This window comes from Homo sapiens, chromosome 6, assembly GCF_000001405.40.
Source record: "Homo sapiens chromosome 6, GRCh38.p14 Primary Assembly".
Classification (NCBI taxonomy): Eukaryota; Metazoa; Chordata; class Mammalia; order Primates; family Hominidae; genus Homo; species Homo sapiens.
The window spans coordinates 37,333,041-37,351,143 of NC_000006.12; the positions used below are offsets into that span (position 1 = coordinate 37,333,041).

General features: G+C 42.3%; 1 long non-coding RNA gene across 2 annotated transcripts; it reads right to left on the reverse strand.

Annotated features, from left to right (window-relative positions):
- Positions 1-29: 29 nt before the first annotated feature.
- On the reverse strand, positions 30-11,686 carry LOC105375040 (uncharacterized). Of its 2 annotated transcripts, XR_007059566.1 has the most exons (4): positions 11,573-11,686; positions 6,775-6,955; positions 1,248-1,365; positions 30-108 (listed from the first exon to the last, which is right to left on the reverse strand). It is a non-coding gene; the product is annotated as an uncharacterized LOC105375040 (long non-coding RNA). The 2 variants fall into 2 exon arrangements; XR_926762.3 differs by lacking the exon at positions 30-108 and having other exon boundaries at positions 1,164-1,365.
- Positions 11,687-18,103: the final 6,417 nt, after the last annotated feature.

Sequence of the window (18,103 nt, forward strand, 5' to 3'; positions counted from 1 at the left end):
ATACTAGTAGGTGTGTGGTCAGGCCTTCTGTGAGGTGAGCAGGGCATCAGCAGAGGATCAACCAGCAAACACTTACCCGACATCCATCTATGAAAGGTACTGTGGAAACTACAAAAATGAGTAACTTGGTAAATGAAACTACTAAAAAGAGTTAACTTGCCAACCACTTTGAGAAGCACTTTACATGGATTATTTCATTCATCTAAAAGAAGTATGTTATCTGATAGAGGGTAGAAAACAGACTAGAATTTCAGTGCTGGATGAAAACTTGGAGATATCTAGTTTAACCCCCTCATTCGCAGAGGAAAATCCAAGCCAAGGCCAAGGAAGACAGCATCAGAGTCAGAACCAGAGACCCGGTGTCCTCCTGGCTTGCCTGTTCAGTGTGTTTCCACCAGAGTAGAAAGAACTAAGATGGCCGCCATGTAGGATTGTCTTTAAGTCTTTTTTCGGTTGTCAGCTGTTGTTTTTTTTTTCTTGGTAACCTTACTGTGAAATATCTCAAGAAAGGTAGCTGATTACATTTCATCTACAAAGGACAGGTTGGAATGGTTTCTCCACCCAGAATTCCTTCCTAGGATTTATTTGAGAGTATTTCTTGGTTTCAGTCATTAGGAACCACATAAAAATTAAATTCAGCTATGTGTAATAAAAACCAAAAATAGGGCGGACGCAGTGGCTCATGCCTGTAATCCCAGAACTTTGGGAGGCCGAGGCAGGTGGATCACAAGGTCAGGAGTTTGAGACCAGCCGAGCCAACATAGTGAAATCCTGTCTCTACTAAAAATACAAAAAAATTAGCCAGGCGTGGTGGTGGGCACCTGTAATCCCAGCTACTCACAAGGCTGAGGCAGGAGAATCACTTGAACCCGGGAAGGTGGAGGTTGCAGTGAGCCGAGTTCACACTATTGCACTCCAGCCTGGGCAACAAGAGCGAGACTCCGTCTCTAAATAAATAAACAAATAAATAAATAACAGTGACTTACACAGGATGAGAATTTACTTCTCCCTCACATAAATGCCCAAAAGTAGGCAACCCAGGGCTAGTAAGATGACTCTGTTTCACAAAGTGCTTAGGTACCTGGACTCCCTCCCTAGGTCTTCATGGTCAGCATGGTAGCCAGCACTCCAGCTATTTTTACACCAACTTTCCAAGCCACAGGATGAATTAAAGAGGTGACAAAGAAGAAAAAGGAAATGTGCCAACAGTGTTGTAAGGAAGGTTCCAGGAAGGTGCCCCATTGTACCTCCTCCTACAACTCACAGCAGAACTTAGTCCATGGTAGGTTGCACCTAGTTGCAGGAGAGGTTGGGAAGATGAGTCCATTTCAGGCAGACATATGCCTGGCTAAAAGGATTCTGGTACTATGGAGGAAGGGGAACACAGACATTAGGATTCAGGTAACAGTCTCTACAAAAAGAACTTATAAAAATAAGTTTACAATAGAGACAGACTTTCCCATAAGCATACAGAAAGGGAATGCGTGTTCAAAATCTAAGTCACTCTTCACAATTAACTTTGTAATTTAACCTTTGTCGTAAAACACGAATACTTTCTACTTGATATTATTTGGACTGAAGCCATTAATTGTTCCTGAGACTAAAAATAACTAACCTGAACTAGTCTTCATTCAAACATTCTGTTTTTCATTTATGCAGGAAGTCAAGCATTTTCTGAGACAGGTTTGTTAGATCATGACTAGAAAATTGATGAAATCTTCCGAACTAATCCTGGCATACTCTAATCTACGGTTTATCCAATATTTCTACAATTTAAATCTCTACAAGGTTCTACTTAAAATAGGCCCTGCCTCTGTTTGTATTGATCTGCAAAGGGATAGTGGCATAGATTCCTCAGTGACTTATTTGCTTCTAGAGGCAAGAGCCTCTTGTTGACAGCATTTGGCTTGCCTTGGACTGGACTTTGCATTTCAAAACAGTTATGTACAACTTTGAGGATTGGAGGCGAAAACTAAGCCCCAGTAACTGAGCCTTTCATACCTCTACCTCTCTCAGGATGTCCAACACTAATTTCCTGGTTGGAGACAGTTTTAGAAGCTGCCATAGATGCCAAGGTGATGATTTTAGATTCATGATGAAAAAGATGAGCTTCCCACAGTATCAGCCTAAAGTACAGTACCACAAGACCAGGGTCTTCTGAGCCTGTGCCAGCTTGCCAGGATAGGTGCCACAGGCCCACAACCATGGCCAACCAAGGCATCTCCCAAGGAAAGGCATCCCCTTGCTTTGGCAAAGGCTGAATTAGAATTCTTGGAAGCAAGGAGAATCCCTGTTCAGTTTGGTTCGGCAGGTGGTGTGGCTTCTGCAGGGTGAGTGTGACAGTCCCTGCCTGAAGTGAGAGCCATTGTGGGGAATCTGGGAGCCAGACCCTGGGCTACTTTTGCTTGTATGGATACTAAGCTTGTCTCAATAGTGACCCCACTAAACCTGCCCCACCCAACCCAGCTATCTGAAAGGAAAGCCCAAACCTCTTCAAACCACTGGTCTCCAAACTTATTTTCCTTCCTTTACTTTTAACCTATCTATGTCTTTATGTTCAATGTGGATTTCTTATTTTATTTTTTATTTTTTTGAGATGGAGTCTTGCTTTGTCACCCAGGCTGGAGTGCAGTGGGTCAATCTCGGCTCACTGCAACTTCTGCCCCCTGGGTTCAAGCGATTCTCCTGCCTCAGCCTCCTGAGTAGCTGGGATTACAGGTGCCCGCCACCACACCGTGCTAATTTTTGTATTTTTAGTAGAGATGGGGTTTCGCCATGTTAACCAGGCTGGTCTCCAACTCCTGACCTCAGGTGATCCACCCACTTCGGCCTCTTAAAGTGCTAGGATTACAGGTACGAGCCACGGTGCCCAGCCTCAATATGGATTTCTTAAAGACAATGTAGTTGGGTCTTGTTCTGCAATCCAACCTGACAATCTCTTGTTTTTAATTGGTACATTCAAGCCATTTGCAATTAATATTATTAATATGGTTGGATTTAGTCTACCATTTTATCTTTTTCTTTTGTTCCCTTTTATGTTTGTTACTTCCCCCCATCCTTTCCTGTCACCTTTTGAATTATTTGAATAACATATTTATTGGCTTTTGGCTATATAAATTTTTTAAGAGATTGCTCCGAAGATTACAATATACATACCTAAAGTTGTTCACAGTCTATTTAGAGTTTATATCTTATCTCTTCAATTAAAATTCAGAAGTCTTAACAACCATTTAGGTCCTTAATCCCTCCTTCCTTTATAATCGTTACATGAATTACATCTATATCCATTGAAAACCTTACCAGATATTATTATCATTTTGTTCTCAACAGTCGTACATATTTGAAGGAACTGAAGAGGAGATTTTACCTGTCATGTTCTTCCTTCAGTCCTTAAATTCCAGGTTTCTTTCTGATATAGTTGTTTCCCTTCAGCCTAAACAACTTTCTTTAGCACTTAGAACAGATCTGCCAACAGTTCTCTTAGTTTTCTTTCATCTGAGAATGCCTTTATTTTGCCTTCATTCCTGAATCTATTTTCTCGTGATATAGATTTTTTTTTTTACTTTCTGACACTTTACCCATGTTGTTCCATCATCTTTTTTTCCATGGCTTCTGATAAGAAATCCACAGTCATGCCTGTAATCGCAGCACTTTGGGAGGCCGAGGCGGGGGGATCACGAGGTCAGGAGTTCAAGACCAGCCTGGCCAATGTGGTGAAAAACCCCGTCTCTATTAAAAACACAAAAATTAGCCGGGCATGGTGGCCCATGCCTGTAGTCCCAGCTACTCAGGAGGCTGAGGCAGGAGAATCACCTGAACCTGGGAAGTGGAGGTTGCAGTCAGCTGAGATTGCACCACTGTACTCCAGCCTGGGTGACAGAGCGAGACTCCGTCTCAAAAAAAACAAGAAATCTACAGTCATTGAATAATTTTCTGTGTTTAATTCATTATTTTTCTCAGGCTTTTTTTAAAAACAAATAACTGGTAAAATGTACATATCAGAAAACTTGCCATCTTAATCATTTTTAAGTGTACAGTAGTGTTAGGCACATTCACATTGCGTGCGATCTCCAAAACTTTCACCCTGCAAAACTGACACTCTATACCCTTTAAACAACAGCTCCCATTCTCTTCTGCCCCCAGGCCCTGGCAACCACCATTCTACTTTCTGTCTTTTTGAATTTGAATTTTCTAGATACCTCACAGAAGTGGAAGCATATAGTATTTGTCTTTTCGTGACCGGCTTCTTTCACTAAGCATAATGTCCTCAAGGTTCATCCACGTTTTAGCATGGATCAGAATTTCCCTCCTTTTTTAAGGTTAAATTTTGATTGTGTGTATATACCACATTTTATTTATCCATTCATCTGTTGACGGGCACTTGTGTTGCTTCCATCTTTTGACTATTGTGAATGATACTGCTATGAACACGGGTGTGCAAACATCTCTTCGAGACCCAGCTTCCAATTATTTGAGTATATACTCAAAAGTGGAATTGCTGATAATTCTATGTTTTAATTTTCTCAGGAACTTCTATATTGTTTCTCAGATTGCTTTTGAGATTTTTTTTTTTTTTTAAGTTTCTGGAGTTTGATTATGTGTCTGAGTGTAAGTTGTTTGTGTTTGTTTTCTGGAGTTTGTTCATTTTTTGCATTCATCCTGTTTGGGGTTCACTAATTTTCTTGAATCTATAATTTTATATCTTTCATCAAATTAGAGCATATTTCTTCAAGTATTTCCTTTTCTGCACCAATCTGTTATTCATCCCCTGGGACTCCAGTGATATGAACATTAGACCCTGAGACTGTTCATTATTTTTCCAATCTTTTTTTCTTTCTGTTCTTCAGAATAGATCATTTCTCTTCATCTATCTTCAAGTTCATTGACTTCCTCTTCTGTGGTCTCCATTCTGCTGTTAAGCCCATCCAGTTAATTTTTATTTCAGATACTGTGTTTTTTGGTTCTAAAATTCCCATTTGGTTCTTTTTATAGTTTCTATTTTTCTGCTGAGAACTTTTATCTTTCCCTTTATTACAAGTGTGTTTACCATTATTTCATCCAGCACACTTACAATAGATGTTTTAAGTCTTTATCTGATAATTCCAACCTCTTGGTCATATTGGTGCTGGCATCTTTTTTATTTTTGCTTTTTTTTATTATTATACTTTAAGTTCTAGGGTACATGTGCACAACGTGCAGGTTTGTTACATAGGTATACATGTGCCATGTTGGTTTGCTGCACCCATTAACTCGTCATTTACATTAGGTATTTCTCCTAATGCTATCCCTCTCCCACTCCCCACCCCACAACAGGCCCCAGGGTGTGATGTTCTCCACCCTGTGTCCAGGTGTTCTCATTATTCAATTCCCACCTATGAGTGAGAACATGTGGTGTTTGGTTTTCTGTCCTTGTGATAGTTTGCTCAGAATGATGGTTTCTAGCTGCATCCATGTCCCTGCAAAGGACATGAATTCATTCTTTTTTATGGCTGCATAGTATTCCATGGTTTATATGTGCCACATTTTCTTAATCCAGTCTATCATTGATGGACATTTGGGTTGGTTCCAAGTCTTTGCTATTGTGAATAGTGCCGCAATAAACATACGTGTGCATGTGTTTTTATAGTAGCATGATGTATAATCCTTTGGATATATACCCAGTAATGGGATCGCTGGGTCAAATGGTATTTCAGTTCTACATCCTTGAGGAATCGCCACACTGTCTTCCACAATGGTTGAACTAGTTTACATTCCCGCCAACAGTGTAAAAGTGTTCCTATTTCTCTACATCCTCTCTGGTGCTGGCATCTTTTGATCATCTTTTCCCATAAAAATTGATAACATTTTCTAGAGCTTTGTGGAGTAATTTTGGATTGCATCCTGGATATTTTGAATAGTATTAATATGGTGTGAGACTCTGAATCTTGTTAAAATTCTTCTACAGCAGGAATCAGCAAACTATGACTGCAGGCCAAATCCAGCCTTCCCCCTGTTTTTATAGGTAAAGTTTTACTGGAACACAGCCTGGCTGATTCATTTACATACTGTGTTGCTTTGGCACTACAATGGCAGGGTTGAGTAGTTGTGATAGAAGACTGTATGGCACAAAGTTTAAAATATTTATTATCTGGCCCTTTGTGGAAAAAGTTTGCTCACCCTGGCTTTAGAAAGCATAGGGCCGGGCGCAGTGGCTCATGCCCGTAATCCCAGCATTTTGGGAGGCCGAGGTGGGCATATCACGAGGTCAGGAGATTGAGAGCATCCTGGCTAACACAGTGAAACCCTGACTCTACTAAAAATACAAAAAAAATTAGCCGGGCGTGGTGGCAGGTGCCTGTAGTCCCAGCTACTCTGGAGATTGAGGCAGGAGAATGGCGTGAACCTGGGAGGTGGAGCTTGCAGTGAGCTGAGATCGTGCCACTGCACTCCAGCCTGGGCGACAGAGCGAGACTCCGTCTAAAAAAAAAACAGAAAGTGTTGACTTTGTTTTTGTTTTGTTTGTTTTAGCAGGCAATCAATCTAATGAGGTTCAAACTGCAAATTCTGTCTCTCCATCTTGGGGACAGATCTAGGAGAGAGAAAATGAAATAGTTTTAATGGGGATTTCACTCTACACTCTTTGGCTCACAGGGATCCTTTTCCTAAGTCTTCTGGTCAAAGAGATGGTGTTTCTCTCAGAGTTTCTGCTGTCTCTGCTACCATGAAGCTCCCCAACTGGACCTATTCTCAGCTCAAAGCTGTGATAGAAAAGAAGAAAAATTGGAGGAAACTCACCCCATACAGATAGTTTCTTCAAGCTTTGATTCCCTTCCATAATTTGGCTGCTTGTTTACTTTTCGGAGTCCTTAGTTACATTTTGTCCAGAATTTTTAGTTGTGATCAGTGGCAGAGACTGCAGTGCCTTACTCCATTTTGTCTGGTACTGGAAGCCTCCCAACTTCTTTCTGACCACGGCCTATGAAAAAACACATTTTACATTGAGACTCAGTACACACACACACACACACACACACACACAATATTTCACAAACAATGCTTACCCTTACTGTGTGTGATGGCCTCTTACGCTATTGTATTCCTTTTCTGTTCTTTGTTTGTTTTTTTAATGGTGCTAAGAGACCAGTGTGATGGCTCATATGAGAGGACTGCTTGAGGCCAGGAGTTTGAGACCAGCCTGGGCAACATAGTGAGACCTCATCTATACAAAAACCTAAATTAGCCCAGCATGGTGGCATGCATCTGTAGTCCTAGCTACTTGGGATGCTGAGGCGAGAGGATCATTGCTTGAGCCCAGAGGTTTGAGGTTACAGTGAGCTATCATCATGCCATTGCACTCCAGCTTGGGTGAGAGAGTGAGACCTTGTCAATAAATAAATAAATAGTGCTAAGACTCATTACTCAGCGTTAACCTAAGTTTGAAAAACACAGCTCTAAACACTGTCACTGAAACAGGAGAGGCAAGGCTGCTACTAGCTGAAATAAGCACATTTAAACAAGTCCTGAATAATATACCACAACTGATGGTACAATAAACTTATGAGTCAAAAAATGTGATGAGAATTGCATTATAACCTTGAATTGTAGAACTCCAGGTTCTCCATGTGACCCGACTCTCTGCTCCCCTTCTTCAACCCTTGACAAAGGTGAACGGAGTTAGGGATCTTTGTGATCTTTTGTAGTCCAAAAATAGCCAACTCAAAGTTGACTCAACTGTAAGTCATCCAAAATCTAAATTTTATATCAGGCGCCTGATACACGTTACTTGCAAAATAAACAGGCTGAAGCCAACTCAGAGGAAAACAAGGTGGTCATTATTGATGTCTGATTCCCACTGCCTTCTGCTGCTGCTGCCCCCACCACCCCCACCTTAGCTCCCCTCCCTTCTCTCCTTCCTCCCCTCTTCCTCCTGAATAAAATCATCTGGGTAATAAATTTTTTTTTTTTTTGAGATGGAGTCTCTGTCTGTCGCCCAGGCTGGAGTGCAATGGCACGATCTCGGCTCACTGCAACCTCTGCCTCCCGAGTTCAAGCGATTCTCCTGCCTCAGCCTCCTGAGTAGCTGGGATTACAGGCACCCACCACCGTGTCCGGCTACTTTTTGTTTAGTAGAGACGGGGTTTTGCTGTTGGCCAGGCTGGTTTCGAACTCCTGACCTCAGGTGATCCACTCACCTCGGCCTCCCAAAGTGCTGGGATTACAGGCGTGAGCCACCAGCCCGGCTGGCAATACATATTTGATCTGGATACTGATCCTTGGCAAGTTAAAGGGTGTGGATGCTTAAACAGTCAGGGCCCCCACCAAAAAGGTGGTTACTAATTTTAAGTACCTCCAAAATATCCACCTTAATTACTGATTAAAGACACCTCCAGGCTGGGCGCGGTGGCTCACACCTGTAATCCCAGCACTTTGGGAGGCCGAGGCGGGTGGATCATGAGGTCAGGAGATCGAGACCATCCTGGCTAACACAGTGAAACACCGTCTCTACTAAAAATACAAAAATTAGCCTGGCGTGGTGGCACGCTCCTGTAATCCCAACTACTCGGGAGGCTGACGCAGGAGAATTGCTTGAACCTGGGAGGTGGAAGTTGCAGTGAGCCAAAATCACGCCACTGCACTCCAGCCTGGGCGACAGAGCAAGACTCCATCTCAAAAAAAAAAAAAAAAAGACACCTCCAGAATATTGTAAATTTGATTACCTATTACAAGTACTTCTGAAATATAATAAACTTGATTGAAGGTATCAGAAATATCTTACAACTCTATACTTGAAACCCCACGTTTACATAAAATATCACTGAACACACAAGCTGACCAAAGCAAGTGGTTACTTTTCCCCTTCTCCTCATCTTCTGGTTTTCTAAAACATTTCCTTTTCCAAGATGAAAGACATCCCTTCCTGATTCCTTCAGCGTGGAGCTTTACATTTTGGGGATGGGTGGAGAAGAGAAGGTGGTAGAATAAAGGAGTAAGAGAAAAGGTAGGATGAATGAGAACGTGGCGCCCTAAGTCCCACCTCCCTACTTCTCCCCACCACACACTCAGGCTGCATCATCCCATCTGAGATTTCATCTCCCGCAGTCACCCTGAATTCCTCCCAGTCTATGGTACCAATCTGAGCACTCACTGCCCACCCAGCCCCAAGATGGCTACACGCAGCAATCTGTTGAAAAGTTGGCCTGTGGTCTCAAGATAGTACTCGGAGAAACACAGGACTTTCCTTGAGATGCTACATCAAGACCCTTTTCTTCTCTGCTCAATCTTTTGAAAACATAATGAAAAAATTCCATCTCACCTTTATTGAAACTCACACAGGGAAACCACACTTCAGTTGGCAGAGCCATGCCCCCAAAGTGGATCAACCCTTGCTTACAGAGGGAACTATTTTTTTAGACATTTAAAAAACCCATCTTGCTTGGACGTGGGTTATTTTTAAAAAGTATAAAATTGATTGAAGAGGTTTCTGCTTTATAATAAAAGAGGAGGAAGTTTTTATTTTTAAGTCTCTTGGATGAAAGAGTGTAGAAAAGGCATGGGGAGATAGTGTTTGTATCTGCAGAAGCCGACGCTCCCTTCTTCCACAACAGTAGCTGACCATTATTGGTACTTACTCTGTACCTTACAAGAATTGACCCATAAAACAATCCTATAAGTTAGGTGCTATACTTAGCATCACCTTCATCTTACAAATGGGGAAACTGAGGCTTGGAGTGGTCAAGAAGCTTGCCCAAGGTCTCATGTAGCAAGTAGCCGAGCTAGGATTGAACAGCAGGGCTCCAGAGTCGATGTCCCTAACTACCATGTTACAGTAGCCTCTAGTTTACCACTGAATTAAAAGCTGGTCTTACACAAAAGCCATGGAGTGAGCAAAAATTCCATCCTTTTACTTCTATTCCAGGGAGATAAAAGCAAAGGAAATGGGAGGGATAATGTCATTATCATCATTTTAATTTGTTAACTTGAGTTCTAAAGTCTGGCAGAATTGATGCTCCTCTTCCCACAATTTAGAATTGTTTCTAGTAAGGACTAATCAACCAGGGCCTGAATTTCCCAGCCTCCCTCAGATCTAGGTGGGGTCATTTGACCAGTTCTCTCCAGTAAAATGTGAGCCAAAGGAATGTGTGTCACTTTGGGGACAAGACAATGAAGAAGCAAGTGTACCTTCCCCATTCTCTCTTCCCTTGTTTTGCTTTCTCGATGCAGAGGACTCCAAGCCCTAGGGAACAGAGAAGCTACAGAAAGAAAGTAGTCTGAGTACTTGAATGACTTAATGGTAGGCTGTCCACTCACTAGGAACACTGAACAAATACGTGAGTAAGAAATAACCTTCTGTTGTGTTAAACCATTGAAACTTGGGGTTTGTATGTTACTGCAGCTAGCATTAACCTAACTAACATATAAAGCACACAACCAATGACTGTCCAAGAGCCCCCAGCATGTCCCTGCACCCTTTCTGTTCTAGTTCCTTACTGCTGCATAACAAACCACATCAAAACTAAGTGTCTTAACCCAACCATCGCATTACGTTCACCAACTCTGTGGGTCAGGGATTCAGGTGGGGTACAACAGAGAGAGCTTGGCTCTCCTCCACAATGTCTGGAGCCTCAGCTGGAAGACACAGAGGACTGGGGATGATTCAGGGTCGGGGCTGATGTCATCTAGGGGCACCTTCATTCCCACAACTGGCCATTGATGCTGGATGTCAGTTGGGACCTCAGTTGGGGTTGTCAGGCAGGACATCTACATGTGGCCTCTTCATGTGATCTCTCCACTTCCTTATGTAGACTAGGTTCCAGCAGTGAGCATCCCAAAAAGACCAGGTGGAAGCTGTATCACCTTTTATGACATAGCATTATTTCTGTTGGAGTCCCATGCCCATCTAGATTCAAGGGAAGGAAATATAAACTCCACCTTGCAATGTGAGGAATGTCAGTGTCACATGGTAAGAGCAAGCAGGATGGGAGATCTTGTAATCATCTTTTAAAAGAGTGATCTGCCACACTTCCTTTTCATAATTCTTTTATTTTTCCCTTCCTTCCTTTTCTTTTTTCTTTTCTTTTTCTTTTTTTGAGATAGGGTTTCACGGTTTCACTGTGTTACCAAGGCTGGAGTGCAGTGGCAGAATCATGGCTCACTGCAGCCTTGACCTTCCAGGCTCAGGTGGTCCTCTCACCTCAGTCTCCCAAGTAGCTGAGACCACAGGTGCACACTATTTTTTTTGTTTTTGAGGTGCATACTTGACTAATTTAAAACCTTTTTTTTGTAGAGATAAGATCTCCCTATGTTGCCCAGGCTGGTCTTGAACTCCTGGGCTCAAGCGATCTTCTCACCATGGCCTCCCAAATTGCTGGGATTGTAGGTGTGAGTCACCGTGCCCGGCTTTTCCATACTTTTCTTGTCCCTTTCCCTTTCTTCTTCTTGCCCTGTGCTTTCTCCCCTTATTGTCATGTTCCTTCCCCACTCCCCAAGCCTCTCCACAGTCAGCTCTAACATTCCTCAGTTCTGTTTAACTGACATTAACTGAGCATATATAATGTGACAGTTGTCAGTTTCACATAAATAACCCCCTACTTACTTTTCCACATCCTGCTGTCTTTTCCCATTTCAGTTTTCACTCTTGAGATGGGTATGAGACAGGGTTTCTCAGCCTCAGCATTGTTGACATTTTGTATGGGATAGCTCTTGTTGTGGGGACGATCTAGTGATTTGTGGGATGTTCAGTAGCATACCCAGCCTCTAGTCATTAGATGCCAGTGGCACCCCTCCCCATATCATGACAACCAAAAATGTCCCCAGACATTGCCTGGAAAGAGCAAAATCACCCCCAGTTAAGAGCCACTGTTAAAAGGGAATATATAGGGGAGGTAGAGTTGATAAAATCTCCAAATCTTAGAAGTCAGTGGTCTCAACGAGATCGGGCATGTTCAGGGTGGTATGGCCATAGACAGAAGTCAGTGGTCTTCAACCTGTTTTGGTCATGCACCCTTAGTAACAAAACAGTGTCTGAGAATACAGCCTAATATGTGAATGTTTGTTTATTCATGTAAAGTCCATACATATCTTCTATGTTGTTCTTTTTTGTAATTATAAAATAATCACAAAGTAGGCATTTTTAAAAGGATGAGATAAAAACCTAATTAGAGGCCAGGTGTGGTAACTTACCCCTGTAATCCCAGCACTTTGGGAGGCCAAGGTAGGAGGATTACTTTATTTATTTAATTTTTTTATTACACTTTAAGTTCTAGGGTACATGTGCACAATGTGCAATTTTGTTACATATATATACATGTGCCGTGTTGGTTTGCTGCAACCGTTAACTCGTCATTTACATTAGGTATATCTCCTAATGCTATCCCTCCCCCCACACCACCCCACGGCAGGCGCCAGTGTGTGATGTTCCCCTTCCTGGGTCCAAGTGTTCTCATTGTTCAATTCCTACCTATGAGTGAGAACATGCGGCGTTTGCTTTTTTGTCCTTGCGATAGTTTGCTGAGAATGATGGTTTCCAGCTTCATCCATGTCCCTACAAAAGACATGAACTCATCCTTTTTTATGGCTGCATAGTATCCCATGGTGTGTATGTGCCACATTTTCTTAATCCAGTCTATCATTGGTGGACATTTGGGTTGGTTCCAAGTCTTTGCTATTGTGAATAGTGCTGCAATAAACATACATGTGCATGTGTCTTTATAGCAGCATGATTTATAATCCACTGGGTATGTACCCAGTAATGGGATGGCTGGGTCAAATGGTATTTCTAGTTCTAGATCCTTGAGGAATCGCCACACTGTCTTCCACAATGGTTGAACTAGTTTACAGTCCCACCAACAGTGTAAAAGTGTTCCGATTTCTCCACATCCTCTCCAGCACCTGTTGTTTCCTGACTTTTTAATGATCACCATTCTAACTCGTGTGAGATGGTATCTCATTGTGGTTTTGATTTGCATTTCTCTGATGGCCAGTGATGATGAGCATTTTTTCATGTGTCTGCTGGCTGCATAAATATCTTCTTTTGAGAAGTGTCTGTTCATATCTTTTGCCCACTTGTTGATGGGATTGTTTGTTTTTTTCTTGTAAATTTGTTTGAGTTCTTTGTAGATTCTGGATATTAGCCCTTTGTCAGATGAGTAGATTGCAAAAATTTTCTCCCATTCTGTAGGCTGCCTGTTCACTCTGATGGTAGTTTCTTTTGCTGTGCAGAAGCTCTTTAGTTTAATTAGATCCCATTTGTCAATTTTGGCTTTTGTTGCCATTGCTTTTGGTGTTTTAGTCATGAAGTCCTTGCCCATGCCTATGTCCCGAATGGTATTGCCTAGGTTTTCTTCTGGGGTTTTTATGGTTTTAGGTCTAACATTTAAGTCTTTAATCCGTCTTAGGCGGTAATTTTTGTATAAGGTGTAAGGAAGGGATCCAGTTTCAGCTTTCTACATATGGCTAGCCAGTTTTCCCAGGACCATTTATTAAATAGGGAATCCTTTCCCTATCTCTTGTTTTTGTCAGGTTTGTCAAAGATCAGATGGTTGCAGATGTGTGGTATTATTTCTGAGGGCTCTGTTCTGTTCCATTGTTCCATTAGTCTATATCTCTGTTTTGGTACCAGTACCATGCTGTTTTGGTTACTGTAGCCTTGTAGTATAGTTTGAAGTCAGGTAACGTGATGCCTCCAGCTTTGTTCTTTTGGCTTAGGATTGTCTTGGTAATGCGGGCTGTTTTTTGGTTCCATATGAACTTTAAAGTAGTTTTTTCCAATTCTGTGAAGAAAGTCATTGGTAGCGGTAGGAGGATTACTTTAACCCAGGAGTTCAGTACCAGCTTGGGCAACACAGTGAGACTCCATCATGAAAAAAAAAAAAGAAAGAAAAGAAAAGATGAGAGAAAGAAAGAAAGAAAGAGGGAGAGAGAGAGAGAAAGAGAGAGAGAAGGAAGGAAGGAAGGAAAACAAAACAAAACAAAAAACCCCCCCGCCAGGCACGGTGGCTCATGCCTGTAATCCTAGCACTTTGGGAGGCCAAGGCGGGCAGATCACCTGAGGTTAGGAGTTCAAGACCGGCCTGGCCAACATGGTGAAACCCCATCTCTACTAGAAATACAAAAATTAGCCAGAAATTGCTTGAACCTGGGAGGCGGAGGTTGCAGTGAGCTGAGATTGTGCCACTACACTCAGGCCTGGGCAACAGAATGAGACTCTGTCTCAAAAAAACAAACAAGCGAACAAAAAAAACCTAATTAGATATCCTGTTATATTCTATCCACAAACAAATGAATCATTTTGTGCACTCCCTGTGGATGGCCATCTCTAGGGCTAGACCATAATGAATGCAACCTCTGGGGCTAGACAGATCTAGGCTTACAGCCCTGGCTTCAGTTTCCTGCACTGCCATTTACTAGTTGAGTTACATTTATTCATTCAATAAAATGTCAGGAATGCAATGGAAAACAAATATAACCTTCAAGAAACTCTTAGTTTTCTCACAGGCAAAATGATGATAACTTGCAGGATGGTAGTGAGGATTAATAAGACGATATACGATAAGCATATAATAGGCACTCAAAAGTGGTGCCTGTGAATTCATGGCAGGGCTATTTGTGACAGCAAAAGACTGGAAAGAGCCCTACTGCATATCAACAAGGGACTGGTTGAATAAACAGTGGTATATCTAGGAAGCAGGATAGGTACTCAAGGAAGTAATCATGTCCTTAGGTTGCAACAACCATGGTGACTGTACAGTCAACACAATAAGCCCCAGCATTCACATTGTAGTCAAGCTCATTCAAGCAAAGCTGTCTCTAGTAGAGAATTTCCCCCATAGAGAGCATGCATATTTTGATTTTACCTGTCCTCAGACTGACCCTTTGCTCATTATAAGAGTAAAAACCACACCCCTGGGTAGAGATTTAAGGTGCTAATGAGACGTGGGGAATGAATAGGCATGCACAGCTACTGCGCATGTGCACCCAGAGGACCACCCAGAGCATGCTTCCTAGTAACACCTCTTCCCACTCCTTTATGAATAATCCATGTTAAGTCTCCCGTAAAGGGAGTCTCCCTAGTGCCAGTCTTGGCTGTCCCGCCTTGAATCCTTTCTCAGGGTGGACTGTCTCTTCTGCATTTAACTTTCAAAATATTCTTTTTCCTTTGCAATAAATTGCTCTATGTTGCATCTCCTACTGTGTGTCTCTTGTTTAAATTCTTTTAAACTAAGAAGACAAGAACTGAGGTCTCACAACAGCCATCAACATCTACACAATAGAGTAATATACAGCTGTCAAGAGGAAGGAGGGACGGGCGTGGTGGTTCACACCAACACTTTGGGAGCCTGAGGGATTTTTTTATTATTATTATTAAATTTTAAAAAGAGAGGCTGGGCGTAGTGGCTCACGCTTGTAATCCTAGCACTTTGGGAGCCCAAGGCAGGCGGATCACAAGGTCAGGAGTTTTGAGACCAGCCTGGCCAACATAGTGAAACCCCGTCTCTACTAAAAATACAAAACTTAGCTGGGCATGGTGGCGCATGCCTGTAATCCCAGCTACTCAGGAGGCTGAGGCAGGAGAATCGCTTGAACCTGGGAGGCAGAGGTTGCAGTGAGCCAAGATCATGCCATTGCACTCCAGCCTGGTGACAGAGTAAGACTCCGTCTCAAAAAAAAAAAAAAAAAAAAAAAGAGAGAGAGAGAAAGAAAGGAGAAATATGTATATATATACTGTTATGGAGTAATCTCCAGGATACTTAGTTAAATAAAACAAGTGAGGTACGGTAGGTGGGAGTGGGACTGAATAGGTGAAGCCCGGAGGATTTTTTTTTTCAGGCGATAAATTATTTTCTCTGATGCTGTAATGGTGGATACATGACACCATGCATCTATCAAAACCCATAGAACTTTGCAGTAAGGGTGAATCTTAATGTATATATTAACCTTAATGTGTACATTAGTCAATTGTTAATGTAAAATGTATACAAATTCTAAGCAATCATTTAGCAGGTCAGAGGATTCCACATAGAATAGACTATGACAAAACAATCTAACTGTATTACAAATGTATGAAACAACCTCTCTGAAGGGGGTTGAGGGAAATGGGTGCTGACCTCAGCCACTTTGGACATGAGTGGAGTCTGTGAGACTGAAGGCAAAAGACCTGCATACAAGTACTGTACTGTAGTGATAAAGTTGTCTCCATAAGGTGTATGGCTTAACAATTCTGAAATCACTATACATGTATACTGGAAATGAAAGATTAAGTCAAGGGATGGCAGATGGTGGGATTCTGGGTTCTCACTTTTGAAGTAGAAGTTTACAGATAAACAAGGGGAGATAGCTAGAATGATTCAGGTGGGAATGGATTAGAGTGGTAAGACATCAGAATGAACTCATGCCTAGCTTACAGATACACACACACACACACACAACACAAATGTGTATATATGCATAAATATTTATAAATATGTGTATATCAAGGGTTAGTATTCACCCATATATTTATTTGCTCTGTCAGCTGAGAAGGCCTAGAAACAATGACATCCCACTAGCAATGACTGCACCTAGTGCCCAGAGTTTCTTGGTTTCTAATACCATTTTCCAATAAAGGAACCAGAGATCCTTGGAGAAATAGCTAATTCTAGGTCTAGGGTATCTTGTGCCAGAAAGTAAGGAAGTACTTAGCAAAACACAACGAGAGTATGTCAAAAGGACACCATAGCCACCTGAAAGAGCTCTCAATGGCCAAAGTAGGAACAATCTGAGAAACAAAATAAAGCAGTATGAGATTATAACCCAAAGTATAAAATAAATATCCATGGGTTCACACTGATATATTTTTCATTTTACTTATTTATTTTTCAGACAGGTCTCACTGTGTCACCCAGGCTAGGGTGCAGTGGCTCACTGCAGCCTTGGCCTCTTGGGCTCAAGCAATCCTCCTGCCTCAGCCTCCCAAGTATCTGGGACCACAGGTGCATGCCACCACACACAGCTAAATTTTTAATTTATTATTTGTAGAGCGGGGGGTCTTGCTATGTTGCCCAGGCCCATCTTGAACTCCTGGGCTCAAGTGATCCATCCATCTTGGCCTCCCAAAGTGCTGTTGATAAATCAACAGGGGAGGAGAGACAAACTCCTGTGCAGAATTCCATACAGTTTCTGTAGAGAACCTGCAGTTAAGGAAATGGAGCATAATTCCTCACTCCTTAAATTTGGCCCAGGAATAGTGACTTCATTCCAAAGAGTACAGTGTGGAAAACGAGAAAAAAAACGAGTAAGTTTAGGCTGGGCGTGGTGGCTTACGCCTGTAATCCCAGCACTTTGGGAGGCCAAGGTGGGCAGATCACCTGAGGTCAGGAGTTCGAGACCAGCCTGGCCAACATAGTGAAACCCTATCCCTACTAAAAATACAAAAATTAGCCAGGCATAATAGCATGCAGCTGTAGTCCCAGCTACTCAGGAGGCTGAGGCAGGGGAATTGCTTGAACCTGGGAGGTGGAGGTTGCAGTGAGCTGAGATTACACCATTACACTCCAGCCTGGGCCAATGAGTGAGACTCCATCTCAAAAAAAAAAAAAAAAAAAAAAAAGGCCTGGCACAGTGGTTCACGCCTGTAATCCCAGCACTTTGGGAGGCCAAGGTGGGCAGATCATCTGAGGTCAGGAGTTCAAGACCAGCCTGGCCAACATGGTGAAACCCCGTCTCTACTAAAAATACAAAATAAGCCGGGCGTGGTGGCTCATGCCTGTAATCCCAGCTACTCGGGAGGTTGAGGCAGGAGAATCGCTTGAACCCAGGAGGCGGAGGTTGCAGTGTGTCGAGATTGAGCCATTGCACTCCAGCCTGGGCAACAAGAGTGAAACTCTGTCTCAAAAAAAAAAGTAAGTTTACAGTGGAGAAACCTGACAAACACTACCTAGATTTCCAAAGCCTAATTTCCTAACCATGGTTGCAATCCCAACCTGGAACGTTTTATCTGTGTGGTACTGTCATATCAAGAAATAAGAAATGCCAGGTGATCGAGATGAACACCAACAATGATAGTTCATGTTGATAACACGTACCCTGGATATGATGCCATGAGAATGACACTTTACCTATGTGGTCTTCCATCCCCAAATCCATAACC